The sequence below is a fragment of the Homo sapiens genome, chromosome 11, assembly GCF_000001405.40.
Source record: "Homo sapiens chromosome 11, GRCh38.p14 Primary Assembly".
NCBI lineage: Eukaryota > Metazoa > Chordata > Mammalia > Primates > Hominidae > Homo > Homo sapiens.
This window is the reverse complement of record NC_000011.10, coordinates 118983462-118995223: the sequence shown is the minus strand read 5'-3', so window position 1 is coordinate 118995223 and position 11762 is coordinate 118983462. Positions and strand designations below refer to the sequence as shown.

Genomic DNA, 11762 nt, shown 5'->3' with positions numbered 1-11762 from the left:
TTTTTTTTTGAGACGGAGTCTTGCTGTCGCCCAGGCTGGAGTGCAGTGGTTAGATCTCAGCTCACTGCAACCTCCGCTTCCTGGGTTCAAGTGATTCTTCTGTCTCAGCCTCCTGAGTAGCTGGGATTACAGGTGTGCGCCACCATGCCTGGCTAAATTTTGTATTTTTAGTAGAGATAGGGTTTCACCATGTTGGTCAGGCTGGTCTCAAACTCCTGACCTCAGGTGATCCACCCGCCTCGGCCTCCCAAAGTGCCAGGATTACAGGCGTAAAACTCCCATGCTGGGCTGGTCAAAGTGCTGGGATTACAGGCATAAGACAACGCACCTGGAACTTGGCTTGTGTCAAATGGAACTCAACATCTTCCCTTTTACTAAACCCCACCCAACATTCACTGCGCACAAGTTGTCTTATTCACTGGACTTCTAATATGTTTAAGGGGTCTGTCCCCATTTATTTTTTGAAACGGGGTCTTTCTGTGTTGCCCAGGCTGGAGTGCAGTGGTTGTTCACAGGTGCCAACCTACTATTGATCAGCATGGGAGCTTTGGGGTTTTAAAACAAATTTTTTAAGCCAGTCATATTTAGCAGTGGGGGGTTGTATACCAACTTTAGTGACACTAATGTTATTAAATTCTAATAACCCACTACCATCAGACCAGCCCAGCTTGGGAGTTTTGACCTGCTCCATTTCCGACCTGGGCTGTTTCACCCCTCCATAGACAACCTGGATAGTCCCCTGTCCTGGGAGGTCACCATGTTGAAGCTGAACTTAGTGTGGACACCCAAACTGCATAATGCATTACAGTCTAGAACTCCTGGGCTCAAGGGATCCTCCCACCTCAGCCTCCTGAGTAGCTAGGACCACAGGGTGCACCACCGCGCCCAGCTGTCTTCCTTTTTTTTTCTGAGACCGAGCCTCACTCAGCTGTCCAAGCTAGAGTGCAGTGGTGTGATCTCCATTCACTGCAACCACTGTCTCCCTGGTTCAAGCGATTCTCCTGTCTCAGCCTCCTGAGTAGCTGGGATTACAGGAACCTACCATCATGCCCGGCTAATTTTTGTATTTTAGTAGAGATGGGGTTTTACTATGTTGGCCAAGCTAGTCTTGAACTCCCGACCTCAGGTGATCTGCCCACCTTGGCCTCCCAAAGTGCTAGGATTATAGGCATGAGCCACCACGCCCAGCCCCCTACCCTTAAAAAAATTATATATATATATAATAGAGACAGGGTTGCGCTATGTTGCCCAGGCTGGTCTTGAACTCCTGGGCTCAAGGGATCCTCCTGCCTTGGCCTCAAAAGTGCTGGAATTACAGGCATGGGCCACTGCACCCAGCCTATCTTACATTTTTTTTAAACTCAGAGCATACCTCATTTCAATTTTCCTCCTCTCTTGCTTGGGTTCATGTAAAATCTTTCTAACTGGTTTCCAAGTGTCTGCTCTATTATGCTCCGTATATCCTCCATACTCTAGTCTGCTCCTACGAACTTCAGCATCTTCGGCCCCTCTGCCTGGAATTTACATCTTTCCAATCCTGCCTCACAAATTTTCTATTATATAAGGCTCCGAAATATGAACTAGAAGTAATTTCCGTGAAGCTGATGACTTTATCTGGCATATGGTAAGCTCTGAATCAATGTTTATTGAAAGAATGAAATGTCACCCCTTTGTGAAGCCTTCCAGAGTTGTCCCTGAAGAATTAATTTCTCAACTCCAAGGTCCTTTGCTCATCCTGTCATCATTTTTGTCTAGTAGTCAGTTGAAAACCAATAATTGAAAAGCTTGGCCGGACACGGTGGCTCATGCCTGTAATCCCAGCACTCTGGGAGGCCGAGGCAGGCGGATCACAAGGTCAGGAAATCAAGACCATCCTGGCTAACACGGTGAAACCCCGTCTCTACTAAAAATGCAAAAAATTAGCCAGGCATGGTGGTGGGCACCTGTAGTCCCAGCTACTCAGGAGGTGAGGCAAGAGAATGGGGTGAACCCAGGAGGCGGAGTTTGCAGTGAGCCGAGATCGCGCCACTGCATTCCAGCCTGGATGACACAGCGAGACTCTGTCTCTAAAAAAAAAAAAAAAAAAAAGGCTCCTCAAGTGCAGGGATTGTGTTCTATTCATGCCCGACTCTTAATTAACAGATGGCGGCTCTCTATGTACACTTGTCAAATTAAGTAGAAAACATCAAAACCCAGGCACCCTGAGGTTAAGATGCCCTTTAGTGGTGGGAGTTAGTGCATGGAAGGAGCCCAGGAAGCATGCAGCTAACAGCCTGCTAATTAGTAGTATCAAGCTACCAAATGGGCTCATGGGTAGCTTTCCTTAAAAATTGTAAAAAAATGGGCCGGGCATGGTGGCTCACGCCTGTAATCCCAGCACTTTGGGAGGCCAAGGCGGGTGGATCACGAGGTCCAGAGTTTGAGACCAGCCTGACCAACATGGTGAAACCGTGTCTCTACTAAAAATACAAAAATTAGCCAGGCATGCTGGCGCACACCTGTAATCCCAGCTACTCAGGAAGCTGACGCAAGAGAATCGCTTGAACCCAGAGGCAGAGGTTGCAATGAGCTGAGATTGCACCATTGCACTCCGGCCTGAGTGACAGAGCGGGACTTCATCTCAAAAAAAAAAATTGTACAAAATTTCCTTTATTAAAAATTGTAGCTCCCTCTCTCTCTCCCTCTCCCCCTCCCCCTCCCTCTCCACGGTCTCCCTCTGATGCCACCAAAGTTATGAAGGCCGAGGCTGGACTGTACTGCCGCCATCTCGGCTCACTGCAACCTCCCTGCCTGATTCTCCTGCCTCAGCCTGCAGAGTGCCTGGGATTGCAGGCGCGTGCCGCCACGCCTGACTGGTTTTTGCATTTTTTGGTGGAGACAGGGTTTCGCCGTGTTGACCGGGCTGGTCTCCAGCTCCTGACCGCGAGTGATCTGCCTGCCTCGGCCCCCCGAGATGCCGGGATTGCAGACGGAGTCTCGCTCACTCAGTGCTCAATGTTGCCCAGGCTGGAGTGCAGTGACGTGATCTCGGCTCGCTACAACCTCCACCTCCCAGCCGCCTGCCTTGGCCTCCCAAAGTGCCGAGATTGCAACCTCTGCCCGGCCGCCACCCCGTCTGGGAAGTGAGGAGCGTCTCTGCCTGGCCGCCCATCGTCTGGGATGTGAGGAGCCCCTCTGCCCGGCTGCCCAGTCTGGGAAGTGAGGAGCGCCTCTTCCCGGCCGCCATCCCGTCTAGGAAGTGAGGAGCGTCTCTGCCTGGCTGCCCATTGTCTGAGATGTGGGGATTGCCTCTGCCCCACTGCCCCGTCTGGGATGTGAGGAGCGCCTCTGCCCGGCCGCGACCCTGTCTAGGAACTGAGGAGTGTCTCTGCCCGATCGCCACCCAGTCTGCGAGGTGAGGAGCGTCTCTGCCCGGCCGCCCCGTCTGAGAAGTGAGGAGCCCCTCCGCCCGGCAGCCACCCCGTCTGGGAAGTGAGGAGCTCCTCCGCCCGGCAGCCGCCCCGTCTGGGAAGTGAGGAGCCCCTCCGCCCGGCAGCCGCCCCGTCCGGGAAGTGAGGAGCGTCTCCGCCCGGCAGCCACCCTGTCCGGGAGGTGGGGGGCAGCCCCCGCCTGGCCAGCCGCCCCGTCCGGGAGGGAGGTGGGGGGCGCCTCTGCCCGGCCGCCTCGTCTGGGAAGTGAGGAGCCCCTCTGCCCGGCTGCCACCCCGTCTGGGAGGTGTACCCGACAGCTCATTGGGAACGGGCCATGATGATGATGGCGGTTTTGTTGAATAGAAAAGGGGGAAATGTGGGGAAAAGAGAGAGATCAGATTGTTACTGTGTCTGTGTAGAAAGAAGTAGACATGGGAGACTCCATTTTGTTCTGTACTAAGAAAAATTCTTCTGCCTTGGGATGCTGTTAATCTATAACCTTACCCCCAACCCCGTGCTCTCTGAAACATGTGCTGTATCCACTCAGGGTTAAATGGATTAAGGGCGGTGCAAGATGTGCTTTGTTAAACAGATGCTTGAAGGCAGCATGGTCATTAAGAGTCATCACCACTCCCTAATTTCAAGTACCCAGGGACACAAACACGGTGGAAGGCCGCAGGGTCCTCTGCCTAGGAAAACCAGAGATGCTTGTTCACATGTTTATCTGCTGACCTTCCCTCCACTATTGTCCTATGACCCTGCCAAATCCCCCTCTCCGAGAAACACCCAAGAATGATCAATAAATACTAAAAGAACAAAAAAAAAAAAACAAACACAAAACAAAAAAACCCAAAACAACAACAACAACAACAAAAATTGTAGCCCAGGTGCGGTAGTTCATGCCTGTAATCCCAGCACTTTGGGAGGCCAAGGTAGGTGAATCACTTGAGATCAGGAGTTCGAAACCAGCCTAGCCAACATGTGGCCAACATAGCGAAACCTGGTCTCTACTAAAAATACAAAAAGCCAGGTGTGTTGGTGCTCACCTGTAGTCCCAGCTACTCAGGAGGTTGAGGCACGAGAATCACTTGAAACCAGGAGGCTGAGGTTGCAGTGAGCTGAGATCATGCCACCGCACTCAAGCCTGGGTGACAGAGCTAGACTGTCTCAAAAAACAAACAGACAAACAAAAACTATAGGCTGGACACGGTAGCTCATGCCTGTAATCCCAACGGGCAGATTGCTTGAGCTCAGGAGTTTGAGACCAGCCTGGGCAACATGGCAAAACCTCTTCTCTACTAAAAATATAAAAAATTAGCCAGGCAGGATTGTGTGTGTCTGTGGTCCCAGCTACCAGGGAGGCTGAGATAGGACGATTACTTGAGCCCAGGAGGCAGAGGTTGCAGTGAGCTGAGATCTTACCACTGCATTCCAGCAAGACTCAGTCTCAAAAAAAAAAAAGAAAAAAAAAAAAAGAAAAATTGTAAAAAGCAATTTCTTGTAAAAAACAAAAACTGTACAGAGGCTACAAACAATTGCCCCATTTATGTTGCCTACCCAGTCCTCAAAGATGGCCATTGCTCTTTGACACCTATATTGATCAAGATGTTTTCTCTGTTTAGACTTCATATATATGTGAACATAATTTCTGCCATATTTGGAGTAATTTTGAACACACTGTTCTCCTACTCTTTTTTAATTCCTCAAATTGTATTTTGGTTATCTTTTTTTTTCCTTTTGAGATGGAGTTTCACTCTTGTTGCCCAGGCTGGAGTGCAATGGTGCCATCTCAGCTCACAACAACCTCCGCCTCCCGGGTTTGAGCGATTCTCCTGCCTCAGCCTCCCGAGTAGCTGGGATTACAGCTATGCACCACCACGCCTGGCTAATTTTGTATTTTTAATAGAAGCAGGGTTTCTCCATGTTGGTCAGGCGGGTCTCGAACTCTCGAACTCAAGTGATCCACCCGCCTCGGCCTCCCAAAGTGCTGGGATTGCAGGCGTGAGTCACCGTGCCTGGCCTTGTGGATATCTTTCTATGTCAGTACATAGAACTTGATATTAAGTGCTATCTATATACTGATGACTCTCAGTGTATTTACATTTTCAGCTCAGACTTCTCTTCTGAACTCTAGACTTATAAATATCTACTTGACATTGACATAACCACCCTGATGTCTCACAGATTCCTTTTTTTTTTTTTTTTGAGATGGAGTTTTGCTCTTGTTGCCTAGGCTGGAGTGCAATGGCGTGAGCTCAGCTCACCACAACCTCCGCCTCCTGGGTTCAAGCTCAAGCAATTCTCCTGCCTCAGCCTCCCAAGTAGCTGGGATTACAGGCATGTGCCACCACACCCAGCTAATTTTGTATTTTTTTTTTTTTTTTTAGTAGAGACGGGGTTTCTCCGTGTTGATCAGGCTGGTCTCGAACTCCCCACCTCAGGTGATCCACCCACCTCGGCCTCCCAAAGTGCTAGGATTACAGGCGTGAGCCACTGTGCCCGGCCCCACCCCCCCGCTTTTTTTTTTGAGATGGAGTCTTGCTCTGTCACCCAGGCTGGAGTGCAGCTGTGTGATCTCAGCTCAGGGCAACTTCTGCCTCCTGGGTTCACGCAATTCTCTTGTCTCAGTCTCCTGTGTAGCTGGGATTACAGGCGCGTGCCACCACGTCTGGCTATTTTTTTTTTTCTTTTTCTTTTTTTGAGACAGTGTCTAGCTCTGTCACCCAGGCTGGAGTGCAGTGGCGCGATCTCGGCTCACTGCAACCTCTGCCTCCTGGGTTCAAACGATTCTCCTGCCTCAGCCTCCCAAGTATCTGGGATTACAGGCGCCCGCCACCACGCCCAGCTAATTTTTGTATTTTTAGTAGAGACAGGGTTTCACCCTGTTGGCCAGTCTGGTCTCAAACTCCTGACCTCATGATCCGCCTGCCTCAGCCTCCCAAAGTGCTGGGATTACAAGCGTGAGCCACCGTACCTGGCTAATTTTTGCATTTTTAGTAGAGACGGGGTTTCACCATGTTGGCCAGGCTGGTCTCAAACTCCTGAACTCAGTGATCCTCCCACCTCAGCCTCCCAAAGTGCTGGGATTATAGGTGTGAGCCACCGCCCCTGGCCTCACAGATTCCTTTTTTTTTTTTTTTAATTGGAGACAGGATCTTGCTCTGTCACTACTCAGGCTGGAGTGCAGTGGCACAATTATGACTCACTGCAGGCTTGATCCCCCTGGGCTCAAGCAATCCTCCCACCTCAGCCTCCCAAGTAGCTGGGACCACAGGCACACGCCACCACGCCCAGCTTATTTATTTTTTGTAGAGAGGAGGTCTCACCAGGTTGCCCAGGCTGGTTTCCAACTCCTGGGCTCAAGTGATCCACCCACCTCTGCCTCCCCAAGTACTGGGATTACAGGTGTGAGCCATCGTGCCCGGACTTGTCTCACAGATACTAAACACAGAACGCTCAAACCTGCTACTCCTGCAGGCTTCCTCTCCTCACCATTCACCTACTTGCTCAAACCAAAAACCTCAGAGTCATTCTTGCCTTTTCCTTCTTTTTTTTTTTTTTTGAGACAGAGTCCCGCTCTGTCACCCAGGCTGGAGTGCAGTGGCGCGATCTGGGCTCACTGCAGGCTCCACCTCCCAGGTTCATGCCATTCTCCTGCCTCAGCCTCCAGAGTAGCTGGGAATACAGGCGTCTGCCACCACACCGGCTAATTTTTTGTATTTTTAGTAGAGATGGGGTTTCACTGTGTTAGCCAGGATGGTCTCGATCTCCTGACCTCGTGATCCGGCTGCCTCAGCCTCCCAAAGTGCTAGGATTACAGGCGTGAGCCACCACGCCCGGCCATTCTTGCCTTTTCTTCTCCTGCAGTCACTACTATTGACTTGTTTTTTCGACCTCCACGATGCATCATCAAATTGTTCTTCTCCCTGTCTCCATCTCTACTGCCACTACTCCTCCAACCGGCCTGATTTACCGCAGTCACCTCCTAATGGGTGTTCCTGCTTCCATGTTGGCTTCTCCCCACAACAAGCCACTTTCAATGAATGGCTAATTGTGATTAACAACGACAACAACAAACAGTTATGTAAGTTACTTCAATTACTTTCCACCATACTGGAAAAAAATCCAAATGCCCTGTCATAGCCTAGGAAAGCCTACCCTGCCCCTCTCCCAGTTTTACCTTGGATCTTTCTGCCCTTGTTTAGTGTATTCTCTCTTCCATGGTCTTATCCCGTTTGCTCAAAAGGCCAAGGTATGTCTCTACCTCCAGGGCTTTGTCCATTCTAATGCCTCTATTAGAATGCTTTTCCTCCGGCCTGGGGCGGTGGCTTATGCTTGTAATCCCAACACTTTGGGAAGCCAAGGCAGGGAGATCACGAGGTCAGGAGTTCAAGACCAGCCTGGCCAACATGGTAAAACCCTGTCTCTACTAAAGGTACAAAAAGTTAGCCGGGTGTGGTGGTGTGCCCCTGTAATCCCAGCTACTCGGGAGGCTGAGGCAGGAGAAGCTTGAACCCGGGAGGCAGAGGTTGCAGTGGGCCAAGATTGTGCCATTGCACTCCAGCCTGGGTGACGGCACAAGACTCTGTCTCAAAAAAAAAAAAAAAAAGTAAAGGAATGCTTTTCCTTTCTGTTCTTCAGCCTGGCTAACTTCTCCTCATGCTACAGGTCTCAGTTAAAATGTCACTTTCTTAGAAAGGTCCTCTCTGATCTCCCCTCCAATCTAAATTAGATGCCAATATTGCTTTCTCTCAAAATAACTCCATCTTTTTTTTTTTTTTTTTTTTTGAGAAGGAGTCTCACTCTGTTGCCCAGGCTGGAGTGTAATGGCATGATCTCTTCTCACTGCAACCTCCGCCTCTCAGGTTCAAGTGATTCTCCCGCCTCAGCCTCCCGAGTAGCTGGGATTATAAGCACCCACCATCATGTCCAGCTAATTTTTGTATTTTTGTAGAGACAGGGTTTCACCATGTTGGCCAGGCTTGGTCTTGAACTCCTGACCTCAGGCGATCTTGCTTTGGCCTCCCAAAGTGCTGGGATTACAGGCATGAGCCACCATGCTTGGCCAATAACCCAATCTTTACTCAATATTACCATTGTGCATTATTGCACATAATTAGTGTATTGGTTTAGTATCTTTACATCTAGACTGAAAACTGTGAGGAACCATTTGGGTTTCTTTGCTGTATCCCTAACACCTGGCAAGGGCCTGGTATAGTGAAAATGCGTAACAAATAATTGTTGAAGTCTAGGCACGGTGGCTCACACCTGTAATCCCAACACTTTGAGAGGCTGACGTGGGTGGATCACTTGACCTCAGGGAGGGTACAAGACCAGCCTGGGCAACATGGTGAAACCCCATCTCTACTAAAAATACAAAAATTAGCAGGACGTGATGGCACATGCCTGTGGTCCCAGCTACTCAGGAGACTGAGGCAGCAGAATTGCTTGAACCTGGGAGGTGGAGGTTGCAGTGAGCCGGGATTGCGATCCTGCCTAAAAAAAGAAAAATAACAAAATAATTGATAAGTGAAAACTAGGTGCAAGTATAGGAGTTGAGAGCAAAGTGGGCAAAGGCAGATTTTTTCTTAGTAAACGCTGTATTGTTTTGTACTTTCTTTCTGATCTGCTGCATTTTGGGATCCACTTGCAACTTAAACCTGATGTTGGCCAGGTGTGGTGGCTCACACCTGTAATCTAGTACTGTTGGAGGCCGAGGCGAGTGGATTGCCAGAGCTCAGGAGTTTGAGACCAGCCTGGGCCACATGATGAAACTTCGTCTTTAGTAAAATACAAAAATTAGCCAGATACGGTGGTGCACGCCTGCAGTCCCAGCTGCTTGGGAGGCTGAGGCAGGAGAATCGCTTGAACCTGGGAGGCGGAAGTTGCAATGGGATGAGATTGCTCCATTGCACTCCAGCCTGGGCAACAGGGTGAGACTCCATCTCAAAAAACAAAAACAAAGCAAAAAAATCCCTGATGTTAACAAGAATGTGCACAGCGATAAGGCTGTATACGAAGTGCAGATGATGGGGACAAATTGAGGCCAAATCAGATGAAAGCAGAGCTTGGGACTCAGGACCCCTCCTTCCTGGGAGCTGAATAGACTCGGGTGGCAGGAAAGAGGCTCTGGCTGCCGGATAGCTCTGGGTGGGCCCAGAGCAAATGACCTGACCTGGTCCCCCTCACCCACTCCTGCAGTGGCTATCACTTAGAAATCAGCATCCAGGCTGGGTGCGGTGGCCACGCCTGCAATCCCAGCGCTTTAGGAGGCCGAGGCAGGTGGATCACCTGAGGTCAGGAGTTTGAGACCAGCCTGAACAATACGGTGAAACCCCATCTCTACTAAAAATACAAAAAATTAGCCGATGTGGTGGCGGGCGTCTGTAATCCCAGCTACTCGGGAGGCTGAGGCAGGAGAACTGCTTGAACCCAGGAGGTGGAGGATTGCTTGAGTCCAGGAGTTCAAGGCTGCACATGAACTGTGATTGTGCCACTGAAGGGCCCTATCTCAAAGACAAAACGAAAAATAAATAAAAATTTAAATGAGGAGGCGGGAGCTACATCAGATTGGAGTTACCAGCAAGGAAAGCAGGGAGGAAAAATGAAAAAGTGAGACTACCTCAACCCTGGTCAGTTGCAGAGACCTGGGAGCCCTCTGGACAAGGGAGCCACTCTCTCAAGAGTGAAGCACCACCCACTGCCACTTCAAGACAGGAGTTATGCCCAGCCCAGGTGGGCAGTGGTGGCCTTGAAGGCAGAGCTTTGTTTCTGTGCAGGCCTGTTGGGCAGGAGGGAAGAGCGGAGAGGGAGTGAGATCTGGCATCGTCTCTAAGCACTGAGTGTCTGTGGGATCCCTAAACAGCCCTGAACCTCACTCATTCCTTCCTTGTCCTCAGGCTTCTCCCTATTCCCCACAGATCTAAGGCTGCCAGCTGTCCCTGCCCTGAGGCTGTCCCCTGCAACCAGGGAGGCCACAGCCCCCCAGCTGGGACCTGCAGCCTCAAGGACTCTTATTCCACAAGTAGCTTTTCCTGAGGGTGTGCTGGAGACAAACAGCATGGCGAAGGGTAATGAAACTCAGGCCCTATTTTTCTTTTGAGACGAAGTCTCCCTCTGTCACTCAGGCTGGAGTGCAGTGGCGTGATCTCTGCTCACTGCAACCTCCACCTCCTGGGTTCAAGTGATCTTCCTGCCTCAGTCCCCGAGTAGCTGGGATTACAGGCTTGTGCCCCACGCCTGGCTAATGTATTTTTAGTAGAGACGGGGTTTCACCACGTTGACCAGGCTGGTCTCCAACTCATGACCTCAGGTGATCCGCCTGCCTTGGCATCCCAAAGTGCCAGGATGACAGGCATGAACCACTGTGCCCGGCCTGAGAGAGGAAGATTTTTCTACAGAAGTATTTCAGCTAATAAGCTAAGAAAATAGAAAATTAGGGCCAGGCACAGTGGCTTACACCTGTCATCCCAGCACTTTGGGAGCCCAGGAGTTTAAGACCAGCCTTGGCAACATAGGGAGACCTCATCTCTAAAAGAAATAAAAATTTTAAAAAGTTAGAAAATTAGGAATATGATTCCTAATACATTTTTAAAAATTTTGGATGTGATTTTTTTTTTTTTTGAGACGGAGTCTTGCTCTGTCGCCCAGGCTGGAGTGCAGTGGCACGATCTCAGCTCACTGTAAGCTCCGCCTCTCAGGTTCATGCCATTCTCCTGCCTCAGCCTCCCAAGCAGCTGGGACTACAGGCGCCCGCCACCACGCCCAGCTAATTTTCTATATTTTTAGTAGAGACAGGGTTTTACCGTGTTAGCCAGGATGGTCTCGATCTCCTGACCTTGTGATCCGCCCACCTCGGCCTCCCAAAGTGCTGGGATTACAGGCTTGAGCCACTGCGCCCGGCCTGGATGTGATGATTGTATCATGTTCAGTCTTTTTAGAGAAAAGAAATGATGTCTAGAAATTGATTCAAAATAATCCAGGGAGGCCAAGGCAGGTGGATCACTTGAGGTCAGGAGTTCAAGACCAGCTTGGGCAACATGGTGAAACCCTCTATTAAAAATACAGAAATTAGCTGGGCGTGGTGGCGCTCACCTGTAATTCCAACTACATGGTAGGCTGAGGCAGGAGAATTGCTTGAACCCGGGAGGCGGAGGTTGCAGTGAGCCGAGATAGTGCCACTGCATTCCAGTCTGGGTGACAGAGTGAGACTCCGTCTCAAACACACACACACACACACACACACACACACACACACACACACACACACACACACAATAATTCCAGGAAAGGGGAATGAATGTGTTAATAACATTGCCTGTGGGGAGATGAAGCTGGATGACAGATATGTAG

At 50.1% G+C, this 11762-nt stretch overlaps 1 long non-coding RNA gene across 1 annotated transcript; it reads left to right on the top strand.

Annotated features, from left to right (window-relative positions):
* Positions 1290-3968, top strand: LOC124902768 (uncharacterized). Its single transcript, XR_007062914.1, has 2 exons — positions 1290-1624; positions 3006-3968. It is a non-coding gene; the product is annotated as an uncharacterized LOC124902768 (long non-coding RNA).